The 19,422-nt window shown below is 45.2% G+C and overlaps 1 long non-coding RNA gene across 3 annotated transcripts, besides 7 other annotated features; it reads left to right on the forward strand.

Annotated features, from left to right (window-relative positions):
* Positions 4,305-4,404: an enhancer, noted in NCBI's record as "active region_23607". NCBI's record gives its function as "activates an Ori minimal core promoter by ATAC-STARR-seq in GM12878 lymphoblastoid cells {active_cell/tissue: GM12878}" and the evidence as "EXISTENCE:reporter gene assay evidence [ECO:0000049][PMID:35858748]".
* Positions 7,171-8,370: an enhancer, noted in NCBI's record as "P300/CBP strongly-dependent group 1 enhancer chr5:169757700-169758899 (GRCh37/hg19 assembly coordinates)". NCBI's record gives its function as "activates an origin of replication core promoter dependent on BRD2, BRD4, P300/CBP, MED14 and CDK7 cofactors, with strong dependence on P300/CBP, by STARR-seq in HCT116 cells {active_cell/tissue: HCT116}" and the evidence as "EXISTENCE:reporter gene assay evidence [ECO:0000049][PMID:35650434]".
* LINC01366 (long intergenic non-protein coding RNA 1366) lies at positions 7,868-11,575 on the forward strand. Of its 3 annotated transcripts, none has more exons than NR_026945.2 (3): positions 7,868-8,052; positions 9,323-9,412; positions 9,609-11,575. It is a non-coding gene; the product is annotated as a long intergenic non-protein coding RNA 1366 (long non-coding RNA). The 3 variants fall into 3 exon arrangements; NR_108024.1 differs by having other exon boundaries at positions 7,868-8,033; NR_108025.1 differs by lacking the exon at positions 9,323-9,412.
* Positions 7,935-8,104: an enhancer, noted in NCBI's record as "active region_23608". NCBI's record gives its function as "activates an Ori minimal core promoter by ATAC-STARR-seq in GM12878 lymphoblastoid cells {active_cell/tissue: GM12878}" and the evidence as "EXISTENCE:reporter gene assay evidence [ECO:0000049][PMID:35858748]".
* Positions 9,170-10,019: an enhancer, noted in NCBI's record as "NANOG-H3K27ac-H3K4me1 hESC enhancer chr5:169759699-169760548 (GRCh37/hg19 assembly coordinates)". NCBI's record gives its function as "activates a minimal SCP1, AML or CMV promoter by ChIP-STARR-seq in naive H9 embryonic stem cells {active_cell/tissue: H9 hESC(naive)}" and the evidence as "EXISTENCE:reporter gene assay evidence [ECO:0000049][PMID:30033119]".
* Positions 9,936-9,985: an enhancer, noted in NCBI's record as "active region_23609". NCBI's record gives its function as "activates an Ori minimal core promoter by ATAC-STARR-seq in GM12878 lymphoblastoid cells {active_cell/tissue: GM12878}" and the evidence as "EXISTENCE:reporter gene assay evidence [ECO:0000049][PMID:35858748]".
* Positions 10,020-10,867: an enhancer, noted in NCBI's record as "OCT4-NANOG-H3K27ac-H3K4me1 hESC enhancer chr5:169760549-169761396 (GRCh37/hg19 assembly coordinates)". NCBI's record gives its function as "activates a minimal SCP1, AML or CMV promoter by ChIP-STARR-seq in primed H9 embryonic stem cells {active_cell/tissue: H9 hESC(primed)}" and the evidence as "EXISTENCE:reporter gene assay evidence [ECO:0000049][PMID:30033119]".
* Positions 15,694-15,903: an enhancer, noted in NCBI's record as "active region_23610". NCBI's record gives its function as "activates an Ori minimal core promoter by ATAC-STARR-seq in GM12878 lymphoblastoid cells {active_cell/tissue: GM12878}" and the evidence as "EXISTENCE:reporter gene assay evidence [ECO:0000049][PMID:35858748]".

The following is a 19,422-nucleotide window of genomic DNA, read 5'->3' on the forward strand; positions in this document are numbered from 1 at the left end:
GTACATTTGCATTTGTGAGAGATAAAATGTCTCCAGATCTCAGCTCTTTGGGCAGCTACATGCCATGGTAATCCATTGCAGTTTTTGATCCATCTTATTAAGACTTAGGTATTTCAGATGACTGCAGTTATGAAGTGAGGTGCGCACAACACCAAGATTAGTGATATGTGTATATACATTTCACTTTTTGACCTATTTATTTATGAATATGGTTCATCTGCTCAGAGCTCTTATACCCATGTGACTGCCATTAGTATACCTGAGTGTTTATGTTTACAAAAATATGAATGTTATTATTGCCTATTTTGTTGTGTAAAGTGGCCTGTGAGGTGCTCTGTCATGTTTTATATGTTTTTAATAAAGAAACATATTTTCAAATGTAAATAATCTCTAAACTTTTCAAAATTATTTTTCCCAGAATTATATTTTCAGGATTTACATTTTTAGGATTGTTAATTTCAGGATTTTAGACTTTAGGGATTCTTATCTTTGGAGATTTCAACATTTGAGATTATGGCATTCGGGATTGTGTCTTTCAAGATAATGGCCCAGATTCATAACCAGGATATATAAATAAGCTCAAAATGCCACAGTAAGAAAACAAAGACCCAAGTTAAAAATGGATAAAAAGACTTGACCAAACACTTCATCAAAGAGAACCTACAGACATCACATAAGCATATGAAGAGATGTTTGATATTATTAGCCTTTAGGGAAGTGGAAATTAAAACCATGATGAAATGCTGCTACATACCCTAAGTACATTAAAAATACTGACAAAACCATGTGCTAGTGAGGATTGGAAGCAACTGGAACTCTTACATATTGCTGGTGAAAATGCACATGGTACACCACTCTGGAAAACAGCTTTGTAGTTTCTCATAAAGTTAAGCATTCACTTATCATGTGAACCAGCATTCTCATTTTTAGGTAGCTATCCTTGAGAAATGAAAACGTATGTCCACACAAAAACCAGTGTGTGAATGTTTATAGCAGTTCTACTCACAATCACCAAAAACTGTAAATAATCCAAATGTCTTTCTGTTGGTAAATGGATAAATGGTAGCACATCTTTACCATGGAATGCTACTCTGCAATAAAAGAGTGAACAATTGATACACTCAACACCTGGGGTGAATCTCGAAGGTATTATACTGGGTGAACAGAGCCAGTTTTAAAGGGGTACATTTATAAGACATTCTTAAAAAAGACAAAACTAGAGTGATGGAGAGCAGAACAGTGATCGCCAAGGGCTAGGGGTTGGGGAGAGCACAGCTGCCAAGGATTAGCACAAGGGAGATTTTTGGGGTGACAGAACCTGTTCTGTATCCCAATTGTGGTGGTAGTTACACAAATCTAGACATTAAAATTCATAGACCTGTACACACAAAAAAGTCAACGTTACTATATGTTAGTTTAGTAAACAACATTTTTTAAGTCCTGAAGTAATACTACAGTGATGGTGGTCAGCCATCACTACCAGTACCTCTGAATTGAGGACAGATGACTACATGGTACAAGCAAGAGGTTAGATGATTCTTTAAAAACATCTGGAACTTACATTTATCCATCCATCAAGGCATCCACCCAACCAGCCAGTCATTATGGGTTGTTCTAACCAGCACACAACCAATTCTTGTGGAGAAGGCAATATGATGGAGGAGGAAGGTATAAGGAAAGACAAAATACATGAAAAAAGTTAAGTGTGATGAGCATCAACAAAGAAATACATTGTTGACTGGAAAACAGAAAAGTTTCTAAAGTGGTTTCCACTTAGGCAAGAATTTACCAGACTCATATCACGTTTAACAGCCTTCAGTTATTTTACTTACTGGGCTATTCCCATGCAGCTATTTGCACTCTGGCACAAAATATCTAATTTGGCATATTTGCAAAATGTATAACACTATAGCTATTTTATATATATATATATATATATATATATAGTATAAAATGCAGCAATGTTGTATCTACAACCCTGAATTTACTTTATATGAAGTACTAGAAAGTCTAATATATTCCAATGTATTGGGAAGTGAAGAATTTCAGTTTCAGGGTGTGAATGAAGTGTCCCTCTGGATGGGGATAATTAGCAAAAAAGGAAACTAGGAACCGAGAATGGAAATGGAAGGTCAGCAGAAGAAAAGGAGGAATGGAGGTTTATTACTTTTTAATTATTGCATTAAAGCCCTGGAAGACATGGAAGAACAGGAGAGAGAGGATGGCCTTCAGGCAGCGAGTGTGTGGGGCACCACCCAGAGTGTTGAACAAGATGTCAACATGGCAAAGCTGAGACCACTAACCTTGGGGACTGGAAAGGGGCCTTGAGAAATGTCTACCAGTTTCCAAATAATAGAACAAATACCCCAGGTTTGGTATCTTTTTCACAATCTAGGACTTTTTGTGGGTGATTCTGACTCCAGTGGAGGCCCAGGAGGCAGAACCCAGAAACTGTGTACAACCTAAAAAGAATTGACATTTGGTTTGAGGACCAGATGAGGCGCAGAAACAAAGTGCCTTAGCATATGTGTTGCCTGCAACAAAATAATATAAATCTGCAAACTTATTTTTAAACGTCTAAAAAAGTAAGATGAATTGATGGATGGGTAAAGGAATAGCTAATTGATGGATAGATACGTGATTAAAAAAAATACAAATTTACACCCTCAAGGAGGTGACGCGTAATTCCTCATTAAGTTTTTTGAACTGTGGGATGCACCTAGTAACTTCCTTTCAAAAAGTACACATGGAAAGGAAGGAAAAAGTGTAACTTCACAGTGGAGAACCTGACCAGCACTACCTCAGCCAGGTGATCAAGGTCAACAAGAGCGATGACATGTGGACAGTGTGTATCCTTGATATGAGATGAGAAAAGCACTTTACCTCTGCGGTCTTTCTTCTAAAAATCCACATCCACAGTGTAATTGCCAGAAAATCATCAGACAAATCCCAACTGAGGGACATTCTATGAAATACCTTGTAAGTACACCTCCAAGGTCAGGAGTTGAAGACCACCCTGGCCAACATGGTGAAATCCTGTCTCTACTAAAAATACAAAAAATTAGCCAGGCCTGGTGGCATGTGCCTGTAATCCCAGCTACTCAGGAGGCAGAGGCAGAAGAATTGCTTTAACCTGGGAGGCGGAGGTTGCAGTGAGCTGAGATCGCACCACTTAAAGTATGGATTTTAGTTAATAACACACCAATATTAGTTAATTAGTTATTACAAATGTATCATACTAATATAAGATTTTAATAATAAGGGAAACAGGCTAGGAAGTATATGGGAACTCTGTACTTTTGTAATTTTCCTTTTTGTAGTTAAAAGGTTTATTTAAATAAACAAGCTTAGTAAAACATTAATGGTTGAACCAAGGTTGTGTGTATATTGGTGTTAATCGTAAGATTCTTTCAACTTCATTGTAAGTTTGAAATGATTCATAACTTTATTTATTAGCTAGCATTTATTTGTAAGTTGAAACTTCAGGGTAGGAAGATCCTGAAATGCTTCAAGCACCTACAAGCAAACAAAGGTTTGCAAATTAAAATTAACGGTAGAGCACTAACAAAGATGTGCAAATTGCCTCTGAGGTTGTTTTTACTCGGTATGCTTTGTTCACTGCTTTATATTAATCGAAGTAAAACAATTTGTAGGGATATTAATAACTTTACCATCAACTCGGGTTCCTCTAACCCTAATATTCCCTTGAGATTTTAAGTTTCGTAATCATAATTTGTCCTAAGTGCCCACGGTGTGGGAGAAGCTGTGTATTTATGTTTCTGCAGATGATCTATCCTCCTACTTCACAGCAACAAACCTGAGGCTATCAGGCATAACTGCCCCATTTCCTGTCCTCCTACCTAGAAGCTTATTTATAACCTTCCCACCCTTGCCCCCTTCCTTCGAGACTCAGAGAGCAGTTCAGGGTTGGCCACTTATTGTGTCACTTGTTCCTCCCCTTCCTAATTCTTTCAAGGCATTCACTTTTTTTTTAATCAATTATTTTATTTCTTCCTCAAATTGTTAAACTTTACACACCAACTCTTCATCACAGCCCCCAAAGCCTGTGAATCTCATCTTTAAACAGTGAATCATGTCCTCCCAAAGCAAAACAAATCAACCACCCTAACACCTTCTCTCTGCCTCTGTTCTCCTCTGCCTCTTGCCTCCTGTCTTTTCCCAAAGCCAAGGTTCTGCAGAAGACCATCTACACCTGTCGTCTGCATGGGACTTTCATTCCTCAGTACCCAACTCTCCACCGAGAGCCCTCTGACAAGGTCACTGAGATGTCCCCAAAACCCATGCCAGCAGCCTCTTGTGGTCACCTTCTTGCTAGACTTTTAGCAGCAGGTGACACCCATGACTGAGTGTCTGCTTGGTATTCTCCCCTCCCCTGGCTTCCAGGACCCCTTTGGCTAGTCCTCGTCAGCCTCCTTTGCTGGTTCCTCTTCCTCTGCTCACCCTGATAAATATCAGAGCTCTGTCCTTGGTCTTCCTCATATCAAGCCCTAATACACTCTTGCTACACAATCCAACTCCCCCCAAGGCCACCCTCAACTCCAGTGACTCTCAGATATACACTGCCCCACAGAATACCAAAAGCCAACACGCAACTTGTTTTCAACACTCACTATGTGCTAGGCACTGTTCTAAGCATTTGACCTATGTTGTCTCATCTAATCTTTACAACCCTATCAGGGTGTACTATCATTAACATCCCATTTTACTGAGCACAGAGCTCAAACAACTTGCCCATGTCCACACAGCATGAAGCCAGGATTCAAGCCCTGTCCCACACTGTGCTCCTTGCAGAACATCTCCACCTCAAGGTTTTTCATCCACCTCTAACCTACCATGCCCCAAATGGAATTCACAATCCAAATGGAATCCTTTCCCCCAAACTGTTCTCCTTGTATTTCCAGGGGAAGATCCAGGCTTGGTGGAGCCTGAGGATTCTATAATTGGCCAGGAAGGGGCTCTTTAGGAAAAAATAAATAAAAAGAAAACAATGAATACAAGAGTAGGTTTAGGACCTTGATAGTGGATGTGAAAGGGAGGGATTCTCGCACATAACCTTCATTAGCTTCATGGTGAACCCCACCCCATACATTTTGTATTCCAGTGGCTAGCATCTAGTCATTCCAGCAGGGGCATGGAAAATTCTTCTCTTTATATTCCCTCCCTCTTCCCTTCTTCATCCATATGGAACCATGGATAGCACTCTAGTTCTACCTTCCTCAAGTCTCTAGAATCCCTCTTTACCTTTTCACGTACACTATCCTGATTAGCTCAGGTCCTCAACATCCCACACTCGGACCATAGCCATAGTCCACTCTGTCTATTCCTGCCACTTCCTGGACTTTCCCCAACACAGTTCCTGTGCTTAGCAGGGTGACCATCAGAAACATGCATCTCATCAACCCTTCTGTGATGGTCCATTTTCCTCTGACTAGCATCTACATTCCTTAGCCCAGCAGTACCCAGCACAGGTCAATCTTGCCAGCTTTACTTTTCCCTGTGCTCTCCTTTTGTTCCTTTCTTCAACAAATAATTATTGAGGACCTATTCTTGAGTACTATTATGAAGTGCCAATAGTAGGGTAATTGAATGCTAAACACTGAATATGCAGTAGCAATCAAGACCAGATCTTTCACACCTCTTGTCCCATCACACCAAATAGCTTGCAGTTTTTAGACTCTAAGACTGTGTTCAGCTTCTTTCCCTTTTCCTAGGCTGCAGGGAAGCTTTTAAATTCATTGATTACCTGAATAATAACCACTTATCCTTCGTGGATCAGATACAGTGTTATCTCCCATATAGAGCATTTTCTGATCACCCTCCAGCAGCAAAAATGGATCCCTTCCTCATTTCTATCCCAAATGTGCTTTTGAGATCTGATATTCCCTCAGAACACCTAATATACTTTGATGCAACTACTTGACTATTGAGAAGGTCTCCCTCATTTCAAAGCAAACATTTGGATCAAAGAGACATCATTTTATTCATCTCTACATCCTCACTGGAACCTGCCATATAGTAGACACCATACATTCATACATACGTACATTCACCAACTCATTCATCTTCATCCATCCATCCATCTACCCATCCATCCATTCATCTATCTACTCACTAATCCATCTACCTACTCACCCATCCAACCATCCATCTACTCTTTCATCCATCTACCTACCCACTTGTCCATTTAACCATCTACTCATCCATCTACCCACCCACCTGTCCATCCATCTACCATTTTATTCATTTACCTACCCATCCGTCCATCCATCCATCTACTCATCCATCTACCCATCCACCTGTCCATCTACCCACTCACTCATCCGTCTACTCACCCACCTGTTTATCCATCCATCTACCCACCCACCTATCCATCCAACAAATATTTCTGAATGTCCTCAATGTCCCAGCCATTTCTCCAGACTCTTTGGATATAGAGAAGAACAAGAAAGAAGAGGCCTCTGCTCTCACTAGCCCTACATTCTAGTGTCTGTTGCAGGGTCAGTGAGGGGTGGGTAGGGGGTCACAGACTACGGAAATAAACAAAGTAGGTGAGTGAGAAGTACTGTAAAGTAAATTAACAGAGCAATATCCCAGAGGGTACTACTTTAAAAGGAATGGTCAGGTCACCTTACAAGAAGGTGGCCTTTGTGATGAGTCCCAAATGATAAGAAAGGAAGCAGCCAAACAAAGAGAGACAGAAAGTCCTGATGTGGGAATGAGCTTTGTGTGTTTGAGGAACAGAAAAGAACAGAGTAAGCAGAGGAGAGGACAGAGATGAAGGCAGGGAAGTTAGGGAAAGTGTAAGAACTTGGAAAATACAGGAAACTCAGCAACAGCCAGACCTGATTTTGAATCCTTTCTCTAGCATTCATCTCTACACGTATGACCTTAACCAAGTCACCGCACCTTTCTTAGCCCCCATTTCCCCATCATGGAATGGGGACACAAGTACCTATGTCATTGGGCTTAGGGGAGAAAGTTCGGTAAAATGTCTGACACATGATAGATTTTGACAAACATTATTTCCTCTTCTTTTCTTGCTTTAAACATATAATGATGCTGTTACCTTAAAAGTTAGGTTATGCCATTAGAAGGCGCCTTTGTTCTTTGCTCTTGTTCTACCAAAATGAGAAAATGGCAAAAATCGCAGGGTGGGTCTCAGTTCTCCATTTTGTTAATATCCAAGTTGATATTTCCCTTTTGCGACAGTAACAACAACATGCAAACCAAAAACTGAAACAGCTTCAGTTCTGTGCCCTCAGGATCCAGCGTGGGACTCGTGAGAACCCTCCAGAGACAGCCACATTTCGAAGCAAGTGGCACAGGCTTTGCAGAAGGCACACTGGGCCCCTCTCAAAACTCAAGCAGCAAAGATGATGAGAGAGCTGCAGACTTCGGGGCGTGGAGGATGGGACTAAGCCGCAGAGTGCCTTGTCTAACATGTTTTAGGAAGCACCCTTCTCTTTCCCGACTCACATGGGGCAGCTATAATAATTCAGCTTCACGTGGCTGAATTATTTTCTGTTTTCACTTGGTTCTTTTTTTCTTCTCCTTTAAGAAAAAAAAAGTCCAAATAGGCTTTGGGCCACACTGGACTACCTAGTAAGGGGGATAGATGATCTAGATGATTTGAGAGCTGGTTTTCTGAAAAGCCAGGGAGCTCTGGTCTTGAGAAGACTCAGTAGCCAGGAAGCTGAGGAACACACACACACACACACACACACACACACACACACACAAACACACCCCTTCCTGGCTCCAGTTCCGCACCACCCCACACCCCCAACACCGGAAGTAGATTTCTCAATAGGCAGGGCTGGGTATGAGTCACAGGCAATTCCGTTTTGTTTGGGACCATGAGACCTCCCACTCCTGGGGCCAGAAGGAGTTGCTGAGAAGGAGCTGTGGTTCTGACCTTCAGGGGAATTCCCACGTCTGTATGGTGGCTCGTGAAGAGCATGGTTCCTTTTCTCAGCCCTCTTGAGGGGCGAGGATGCTGAGGACTGAAGTCGGTGGGGCTTGATGCATGTGGTGTGTGGATGGTGTGGGGAGGTGGGGAAGGAGGACTAACATGAATGGTGTGAGGTCTTTCAGAGGGGTCTTCCCAAGGTCACATAGTTGACGGGGGGTGAGTACTCACACTCGTGCAAAGGTGGGGGATAGGAAGGGAAACTGAGGCCATTAGTATTTGGCACCATAGCTGGTCTCTGAGGCTTTCAAATGTTCCCCCAGGAGGTTCAGCCTCTGTGGGGAGAAGCCAGGGGAACCCCATGGCACATCCCCAGCCCTGCCTGCTACCCGCCTCTGCCATCTCCCCTTCCCCTGGGCTATGAGGGGAGGTAATGAGACCTGTGACTCATACAGTGCTCTCCTTTTCCCTCCTATCAGCTCAGACTAAGCAGAGAAGTGGGCAGAGCTCTTTCACCAGAGGTGGAGGGGCCTGTTGGGGAGGGGACCCACCAAATCCTTGGGGGTGGTTCTCAGCTCCCCGGAGATAGGGGAGATGAGACCTCAGGAAGGCTCTGATCAGGCGTCTTCTGTTCTCTTTCCTTTCTTGGGTGGGAATGATGCTTCCCACTTTTGTGGTCCACCTGCAGGCCGCCTTTCATCCTTCTTCAAGTCACAGAGAGACAGAGAGGAGGGGACGAAGGACGAGCCATGGGGTTTTGAAAGCAGGCACAGCAGCAGGGGTGCTGCCTCCAGGGGTCTGCTCTGCCAAGAGTTCCTGTCCCAGGTGTCTACAAAAACAGTCAAACTCTATAAAATACTTGGAGATTTATTCTGAGCCAAATATGAGTGACCAATAGCCCGTGACACAGACCTCAGGAGATCCTGCCCAAGGTGGTCAGGTTACAGTTTGGTTTTATATATATTAGGGAGATACAAGAAATAAATCAATACATAGAAAATGTACGTTGGTTTGGTCCGGGAAGGCAGGACAACTCAAAGCAGAGGCTTCAAGTCATAGATACATTCAAAGATTTTCTGATTGACAATTGGTTGAAAAAGTTGTATTATCATCTAAAGACCTAGAATCAACAGAAGAGAATGTCTGGGTTAAGATGAGAGGTTGTGGAGACCAGGGTTCCCATTATGCAGAGGAAGCCCCAGGTAGCAGGCTTCAGAGAGAATAGGTTGTAAATGTTTCTTATCAGAATTAATTCTCTCCTGGAGCACGAAAAGGAAGGGGATTCTCTTCGAAATATAGATTTTCCCCACAAGAGACAGCTTTGCAGGACTATTTTGAGATACAGCAAATAAACATAACTTGGGGCAAAATACTTTGATTTTTTTTTTTCAGGGCCTGCTCTCTGTCATGTGATGCTATACTACAGCCAGGCTGGAATTTGGTGTCTTATTGCTACAAAGAATCAGCTTTGTCAATCCTAAGGTCTGTTTTAATGTTAATGCTGGTCAGTTGTGCCTGAGTTCCAAAAGGGAGCAGGAAATAATGAGGCACGTTCGACCCTCCCTTCCCACCACGGTTTGCACTAGTTTTTCAGGTTAACTTTGGAAGGCTATTGGCCGAGGCGAGGGGTCCATTCAGATGGTTGGGGGACTTAGAATTTTATTTTTGGTTTACACAGGTCACTGAGAGGCTGCCAGAGGGCCATTTTCATGACCAGAGGGATCTGTTCAACACCCTGTGGGTCCCAGCACCTATCTCAGGAAGCAGGGTGCATCTGTCCACCACCAAGTCTCAGGGTGGCTGGGTGAGCGCTCATCAGTCCCAGACAGCAGGTTGGCACAAAACGACACTGCCCACAAAACCACAGGAAGAAGAGAAACTCCGACTGTCTTTCAGCACACAGAAGACACTGTACTGGACCCGGACATTAGGCAGACACCCACGCCTGACTTTCAGGAGAAAAGAGAACATGACTAACGGATATTCTTAGTAGATGGTTTATTAGAAAAGAGAACATCTTCCAGCATGTGTCCTGGGGTGATGGGTGTGGGAAGCACTCAGTCCATAGTCCTGGTCCCTGGCTTCCCCAAGCCCAGCACCATGAATGTACAGTGGAAAGCAGAGGGTGCAGCGTCTCAGAAAGATGCTTCCACTCACAAGGATTGGAGCTCACAAGTGAGCTCCATAACCTGCAAACCAGAGAAACCTGAGACACTGCCCCTTGGCCATTTTATCAACGGAGACTTTATTGTGATTATCCCGGCAGGGGGCCGAGCTCTCCTCTCTGCAACAGGAAATGCTCTTTAGTGAAAATGCAGCATTTCTCCAAGGGTAACAAAGCTGAACGCCTGCTTAGCTTATGAACCCTCAGTTGGCCTAGGTGGTGCAAAGACCCTGCTGTTACTGCTTTGATCATCAGTACTGTGGACTGTACCAGGAGATCCCTGGGAATGTGCTCTGGGCGGAAGCAGCTTTTATCTTTGGCCCTCACCCATGCTTTATATGGTGAGGTTGGGAAAATGGCACAAGGCTTCTCCTGAACCTCAAATCAACACCCTTGCCCCATTTAGATCCTATCTGGCTGTTTCTTGCTAATATTACTGCATCACTGCACCATCTTTCCTATTTCAGCAAAGTGGAGTCATGTGTGGTTTATGGGGTAGATGGACCCCAAAACTGATAATATGAATCAAGCTATGGTGTTTACTCCCTAGGAAATGCACAATTTTTCTGGAAACCTACAGAAGCTTCAAATGCATTCGCCATGCAAAGCTAAGTCAGCAGAACAACCCGTTTGGCTTTGGAGGCTAGTTCAGTTCCGCGGACAGGGAGAAAGATGAGGCAGACTGTGGTTTTTCAGTTCCTGGAGCTTACGGAGCTCCAAAGCTCCCTCTCTTCCCACCCTGGCTGCACTGTTCTTAATTTTAGATAATACCCTGCCTTCTCGTATTGCTGCTGAGCTCCTAGCATCCTCAGTTTATCTGTCTGTGAAATGAAAAATCTAATGTTAAATTTTTTACCTATGGCATGAGAGAGATGGCTATGGCTCTTGTGAGCCTCTCTGCAGCCCCTCTTTTCCTTCAATCACCCTCTGTCTCTCCTGCCTTCTGCTTATTCTCTCTCTCCCCTCATCCCCACTTTCCCAGTGGGTCCTCTGTTCTCTTTTTTTTTTTCTTTTTAAATCTCTCTATGCCTCCAGCCGAGAAGATAAAGAGTGTACATCTTTCTGGTTAAAAAGTTTTGCTTTGCAGAAACACAGCCAATTTATGATTCTGGCCTTCCCAGCTAGGGACAGTGTTCATTTACATTTAGGACCATGAGGAGAGAGGCTTAGCTGTGTGTTTCTGAGGCCGGAGAAAATTACAGTGATATATAACAGTGCTGCACTCATAGAGGTGCTGAGCCGGGGTTGGGCTCAGGCGGCCGCTAAGCTCAGAGTGGAAAGTTTCAGAGGGGAGGCAGAAAGGAGAGGTCTATAGCTCCTCCAGATTCTAGGTATTAATTTACTAAGATATTCCTAAGCCAGAAAACAGAGACAGAAGACAAAGAGAAAGAGGGAAGAAGAGCAAGACAGAGAGTTAGAGAGAGACAAAGAGAGAGAGTTAGAGACAAAGAGAGAGTGGAGAGGAGAGAGAGCAAATATTGAAAGGAAAAGGAAAAAGAAAGAAACCTGACAGCTCATGAACTTTTTAAAAAGTTACAAATTAGATTTGAAGAGATGGGCAGAGGTTTAAGATTTCTTCATTAGGCTGGGTGTGGTGGCTCATGCCTGTAATTGCAGCACTCTGGGAGGCTGAGGGTGGCAGATCATCTGAGGTCAGGAGTTCGACACCAGACAGGCCAACATGGTGAAACCCTGTCTCTACTAAAAATACAAAAATTAGCCAGGCATGGTGGCACGCGTCTGTAATCCCAGCTACTCTAGAGGCTGAAGCAGGAGAATCGCTTGAACCCAGGAGGCGGAGGTTGCAGTGAGCCAAGACTGTGCCATTGCACTCCAGCCTGGGTGACAGAGTGAGACTCTGTCTCCAAAAATAAAAAATAAAAAAAAAAGGTTTTTTTAAATTATACTTTATTTTTAGGGATTTTTCTTTATCTACCACTTGCTAAAAGGGCCCCAGCAGCAGGTGACTGGCAACAGAAGAAGGTTCCAGAAAAATGAGAGTCACTTCACTGGGCCTTTGTCCTTGACCTGAAGGATTTCTTGTACCTTGTGCACTTTTCTGGGGTGCAGGATGGTTGAGAGGTGCAGTGGTCAAGGCACTTGATGCTTGTCCTGGAGACTGAGGTTATGGGTTGATCTGTCTGGGTGCCACTCAGAATCCTGAAACCTGGATCTGCCACTTACAAGATGTGTGTCTAAATCAGGTTTCTTCTCTCTGAGCCTTGGTTTTCCCATCTGGAACATGGACATACCAATATCTCACAATGTTATTATAAGACTCACTCATATCAATATGCTATTAAGTAACACAACTAGCAATGGCAACTGCTCATAACTCACATGTATTGAACAGTGCACTGGGTCCTCATTTTACATTTGTGATCCCGGTGGGTCCTCACGTCTTCCCCACCAGGTGAGGACCACAAACAGCCTCACGTTTTAAATGATGCTTAGAAAAGCCAAGACAAAACTTAATACTGCCAGAGTGACTCCAAAGCCTTTTCGCTTTAGCAACCATATAGGTGCCCAAAACAGTTTTGCTTCATCTCCTTCTCCCACCTGTTGATGTTTTTGTTTTCCATTTCCATAGACCTGTTCCCTGCAGAGGGAGCCCAGCCCTACATGTGGGGATGAGGGTGTCAAGAGTTCCCGCACCCAAGTCCTGACTCTCTCGGCCAATAGTTGGCCGAGGAACCTTGGGTGAAGTCACTTCATCTCTTTGAGGCCTCTGTTTCCTCTTCTCTAAAATACAGAGGATGTTGTGGGTCCTACCTGCTCAGAGAGCATGTTTTGAGGACCCAGCGTAGGAGGGCAATCTTATTAGTCCAGGGAGAAGCCACAGCGAAGAGGAAGGGCAGGATTCTCTTCCTCTCTCCCGGCCCTACCAGACTTGCCTTGACCTGTGCATCCCGGGCACATGAGGGAGAATACAGGCCCAAGCCAGGTGTGACTACATCCAGATGTTAGTGGGGAAGGAAAAGAGACAAAAACCTGGAATTTATTCAGGTCTGGGACCTAGACCTCTGCTCCATTGGGAAAGCAGTCAGATTTTAGGATAAAAGAGAGAGGCTTAGAGCTCAGTCACATGGGGCTTCAAGTCCCCATAGTGTGGCCTGGGGCAAGTCACTGTCATTCTGGGCCTTAGTGTCCTCTTCTATAAAATGGGAATAAAACTAGCGCTTACCTCCAAGTGTAGATGTGGTAAAATCAGGTTTAGAGAGTACCTGGCCCAGGCTCTGGCACAGAGTAAATGCTCATCCATGTTGCTGGTGCTCCTGTACCCTTGCCAAGAGTCAAGGGGCTGTGCTCTCTGACTTAACCACCCCTCCTCACTAGGGGACCTCACCTCATAACCGCTGCCCACAGCTGACTCTGAGCACCATTTGCAGGGTGCAAGAAACAGCATTTGACAAACGAAGGCTCTGTGCTGCTCACGGATTTCCCATTTAAATGTACTGATCCCTAATTATAATCTCAGCAAGAAAGAAATGACTGAGGACCAGCAGGGGTTGTTGAGGAGCAATTACTTGGCAATTTTCTTTTTTTCCAGTGGAAGGGAAGGGAGGTAGAGAAGGGAGGACGCAGGGAGGAGCTCAGAGTCTCCACTCCTTCCCTTTTTCCAGGCTTCGTGTTCTCTGCAGGGTTGGCTGCTGCCTCAGAGCCAACTCAGCACTCTCCTTAGAGGGCAGACCACGGGGGTGGTCCCCTAATGCCGGAAGGCAGGAGGAATGGGGAATCAGCCATGGATGGGAGACTGACGTTTCTTTGGCATTTTCCTATTTCTTGAAAAGCCAAAACAGGGCTGGCTGTCCCCTCTCTTCCCAGTAAACAGATCACCCTAGGGTAAGTGCCTATGTGGTAGATCTTTAGTTTTTGCTTTTGTTTTTTAATTTCCAAAGATAGGAGGGGTACTTGCGTCAGAATGGCCCAGGGTGCTCGTTAAAGATGCAAGTCACTGTCTCTCTGAGCCTTAGTTTCCTCTTCTGTAAAATGGAAAAGGAGGGGCACCGGTATTTGTACTTGACCAGAGAACTGGATGCTACTGAGGGCTCTGCAGGCTGAGAGCCCCCAATGTGGACTGCACAACCTTTGACCCCATTCTGCTTCTACACCACAGCGTATCAGACAGCTGACCATTGATCATTGGATCCTTGGGCAACTCACCTCTTGGGTGCTTGGGATCAAAGATGCCAAAAGCAATTGTCAGATACAGAAAGGGTATTTGGAGGTTTGCCTTGTTCTCTGCATGAGACAACCAAAACAGTGCATTGTCATTTGCAGAGTATCAGATCCAAGAGGACTCTACTAAGCAAGCAGTTTCTGAGCGTAAAAGCAAAGCTGCAGAGTCAGATGGCCTGGGCTTAAGAATCGGGTTCCACGGCCACTTACCAGCAAAAGGACTTGGAACTCGTCACTGAACTTCGCTGTGCCTCAGTGTCCTCAACTGTAAAAATAAGATGATAATAGAACCGCACTCCTGGAAGGATTATATGAGATTATATGCACAGGTTCTCTCACTCTCACCCTGACGCAGATGAATTCCTAATGAGATTTTAGTTGTTATTATTGAGGCTTACTTCTAACTAAATGCCGTGCTGGATGCCTTAGCTGATTCTGTCATGTAATCCTCATCACCACCATGTCTAGTAAGTATATTTTTGTCCCATTTTACAGAGGAAAGAATTGAGACTCAAAGAGATGAGGTAACTGGTCCAAGGTTAAAGAAGCAGTAAGGATCGGAGCCATTAGTTTACTCATAAAATATTTAATGCTCTCGGTGTGCCAGGTGCTATTCTAGGCATTGAGGGTTTTGTGGTACACAAGATAGACAATGTTTCTGGTCTTATGACAATCACATCCAGTTGGGGGAGATTAGGTCTCAGCACCACTCATACTGCCTCCTTGAGGGGTGATCGTTCTTATCATTGTTCTTGAGCACATGGCTGGGCAGAAGGAATCCAGCAGAGGGTTGGAGGCCGGAATAGTATGAAGTGTCCAGAAATAAATCCTGGTTATCCAGAGAGGGGGATATTTCTTATGGTGACCTTGGCCCAGTTGAATGCCCTCTGCCTCTCCCCACTCCCATCCCTGTGTCTGGGTCTCTGGTCTCTGTACTTAGCAGAACTTGCTGAGAAGAACTCTGAACCTGGGGATGGGGGAGCAGGTTGAGGGTGGGATATAGACCATCAGGTTCCGAGTGAGGCTTGCAGAGCTTGCAAACTATGAGTAGAAACAACACTCATTTTATAGTCAAATCTAGCCTTTGCTGCCTGTGACTCCTGAAAACATTTCCCAAAATTCACTGAGACCTCCCATCACTGGGAGGGAGAGCTGCCTCTGCCAAGCCCCCTGACCCACATCCTCTCTGGGGCAGAAGGGAAACCTCACCTGGCCAGGTGGGCTGATGGTAGAAGTGGGAGCTTGAGCTCCCTCTAGTGAGGCAGTGGGGGCAGCACAGAAAACACCTCCAACCTAGGCACAGGGTGACCTCTGCAGGACTTTCTCCCCATCAAGAAAGAGGAAGTGGCATTGAGTGAGTCCTGGTCAAAAATAGTCCATTTCTGTGGGTCCCAAGGGCAGTCCCGGCTCCCCAGCAGAGATCTTTTGAAATGCTCACTCTTCTGAGGTCCTTGGCTCTGAACCCAAAATTCCCCCATCTGTACACATGCAGATCTCTGGGGTCTGGGCGCATGTGATCCCCCGCAGACCTCCCTGCTGGAGGTAGCCTCCTTCCCATCCTTTCTCTGCCAGACCAAGCACACACTCTGCTCCCCTTGCTGGGCCTTGGGTTGGGTTTGTCCCAGCTCCTGCCCTGGTTGGGGGTGAGGGGTAGGTCATGACAGAGATGGAGCCCCATTTTCAGACTTAGCTTAGCCTCCTGGAAATCACCCTAAAGTATTTTTGGAGCTATTTAGCATCCTAAAGATCAGAAAACTATTGCAACCAGATGCTTGAGCTCTGCTGAGTCAGCAAAGATGCCCACAGCAGTGGGGAGCAGACCCTGGCCTGTGTCACTGTGAGTGAGCAGTGTGACTTCTCAGGGCTGCAGTCTCCTTGTCGGAAAATGGAAACTAAAATTGCTGGGATTAAAAGGGAGGAAAATATGGGAAAGCACTTTGGACAGTATAGTGTGCAAGTTGATGTTAGTATCTATTATTTTTAAAATCCGGAAGTCAGCTAAGATGCCTTATCCTATAAAACTCAAGTGGATTTTGCCAGAATGTCCTCACACCAAATAGTGGACCCCTTCTTTTGCTGATTTATCTGCTATTGTATAGGTGTATGTGTGTGTGGGTGTGTGTGTGTGTGTGTGTGTTAAGGCAGGTGGTAGTATGTGTAGGGTAGGGTTTCCCCAGTCACCTGGAGCCCTGAGTGCCTGCTTCCCTAAACTAGGCCAGTTTAGCTGACTGGCTTCCTTTGTGTATTGGTCCATTCTGCATCAAAAGCATCTGAATTTTCATTCAATCTCTCTTCTGAATTTTCACTTTTAAAAACCTGACCAGTCCCTTGTGTGTAACTGACTTCACAGGAGGTCTGAGGAGACAAAGGGGGTTGCTTCGTAGCCACACAAACAACTTCAAGTCAAATAATAGACCTGCAAATTGCTAAAAAGCCCTTTGGCTCTTTTCAATAACTGGAGGCCAGCCTCCCTCTCCTCTTTCTAAGCCCTCTTCATCTTTCTGTGTCCTCCGACAGCTGTTGTTTATCAAGGTGACCAGCATGATCCATCCCTCAACAAACAAAATTCCTTCCAGAAGAGGAAGGCAGGTGCCAGCTGTTGAGATAGTAATTTCTTTGTCCTGACAACATTTTTGTTTATCTCCGGACCTTCCATCCATATGGGTAAGAGACAGGAAAGAGCGAGAACTGGAAGGGACAGACACCACTGCAGAGGGTCCCGTGGGGGGCTTTAGAGAGGGGCTCCAATGCCTCTCATTGTTCTACCTCCCAGCCATTTTGTTGTTGTTGTTTTGAGACAGAGTTTTTGCTCTGTTGCTTAGGCTGGAGTACAGTAGCACGATCGCGGCTCACTGCCACCTCTGCCTCCTGGGTTCAAGTGATTCTCCTGCCTCAGCTTCCCAAGTAACTGGGATTACAGGCACCCACCACCATGCCCGGCTAATTTTTGTATTTTTAGTAGAGACAGGGTTTCACCATGTTGGCCAGGCTAGTCTCAAACTCTTGACCTCAGGTGATCCATCCGCCTCTGCCTCCCAAAGTGCTAGGATTACAGGCGTGAGCCACCACACCCGGCCCCTCGCAGCCATTTTGAAGGCCTGAGCTCCCTGATGGAAGGCATGGAGCCAAGCTCAAGCATTTTTCCACTGACATGGCAGGATCTTAATAGAGGTTTGTCCTGTGATTAAGTCCTTTATTGACGCTTTGGAGACACACAACCCATACCCTTCCCAACCTGAGCTGAAGCCACAGATGCAAAGGAGCCTGGGAACTCCTCAAGTCCACTTGTGTCCAGTCCTCTGCCCTCCTGCAGGGAAGCTCTGTAGTCCAAGGACATCCAACTCCCAGACTCACTTCCAGGGACAGAGATACGAGGATCTTGGGAGTAGAGCTGTGGGCAAGAATGCCAGACTCCTGGTGATTCTGGGATATAACCCCTTGGAGGGGATTGTCACGGGTCTGTGTTCCTTCATGCCTCTAGTAGGATTCATGATCATCTTTATGACAATAGTGACAATAATGACAGCTACCATGGTCCAAGCCCTTATTACATGGTGGGTCCTTACACACATTTCTCATTAACTACATCATATGATGTAGGTAACTTTAGTATTCCCATTTTACAGATGGGGAAACTGAGGCTTATGAGGTTCAGTTTGTGTAAAATCACATAGCTGGAAGGTATGGAAACTGGGCTCTTCACCACCACAAGGCACCGCCTCTCACTCAGTATGCCACTGCATGCCCATGCAACAATTTACGATTAGGAATGAAATTCTCATACAGTCATGCATCACTTAACAGCAGGGATGCGTTCTCAGAAATGTGTCCTTAGGTGAATCCACTGTTGTGTGAACATCACAGAGTGCACGTATGCACACCTAGATGGCATATTCGACAACACACCTGGGCTCTCTGGTACAGCCTGTTGCTCCTGCGCTACAAACCTGCACAGCATGGGACTGTCCTGAATACTGCAGATGGCTGTAACACAACGGTGAGTATTCGTCTATCTAAACACAGCCAAACATAGAGAAGGTAGAGTGAAAATACAGTAGTATAGTCTTATTGCACCACCTTCGGATATGAGGTCAAGTGTTGACTGAAATGTCATTATATGGTGGGAGACCGTACATTACTTCATTTACACTTCACCTGGATATATACAACCTGGAAGCTCTTTTTCCAACCATATCACAGACAAAGAAATTGAGGCTTGTACAGGTGAAGGGGCCTGCCTTTCCTTTGCTCACAGGAATGTGAGGATGATACAAAAGTGAAGGATATTGGCATTCTTCAGGCAGGGAGATAACCTGGACAGGGGTGGTGCAGCAGGCATGTGCATAAAAGGAGCAAGAGAAGCCTTCTCTGTCGTGAGCAAGCTTGCAGGCCAGATGGAGAAAAATGAAGTAAAGTCACCCCAAAGCCTGGATTCTCATCTGGAGTGCCTCTTGCCTCTTGCCCTTCCCAGAACGCTCCAGCTTGGCACTGGGCTGGAATTCCACTAAGAATTGAGTTGATTTCGTCATCTGAGGCCCTGGGCACAATGACAAGGGTGGTTTTCTCGGATCTGCAGTGAGCATTACACCAGAGTGTGGGAAACAGTGCCTACTCAGGGACCCCACTCTGGGACCCAGGGCAAACTTGCCATCGTCTCCAGTCAGCTCATTAGCCGCCCAGGACTCTGCCAGCCCATCCAGGCAGTGATGTAATTACCAAAATGGAGATGAATATTTAAAGGGACTCTTACTTAACCGATATACTTCCTCTCCAAGTTCCCTCCTTCACCGGCTCTGGATGAATTTCTGGAGGGATTGCTCTGACATAGGCCCAGAGCTACCTGTGGTTTGACCTCATCATGAGGCCTTTCTTCACCCTTTCTTGGTGGCTTGCCTTGAGGGTGTTAGGAGATGGTCCATTGTCTGACTGTGAACAGCAGGGCAGCTCTTATATTCTCCATCAATGGATCTCTGGGGACAAGACCCAGATGGGTGGGGGGACAGGGGAAGGAAACATAAAAGCCAAAGGGACTGGATACCTGTAACTAATTACCCCTTTACTGTTTCTGTCACCAGACCTTAGTGCCACAAAGGATTGGGGGTCATTTGTGACAATGTATGTTGTAAAATGTAAAATGCAAGTGACCACA

This window comes from Homo sapiens, chromosome 5 (assembly GCF_000001405.40).
Source record: "Homo sapiens chromosome 5, GRCh38.p14 Primary Assembly".
NCBI lineage: Eukaryota > Metazoa > Chordata > Mammalia > Primates > Hominidae > Homo > Homo sapiens.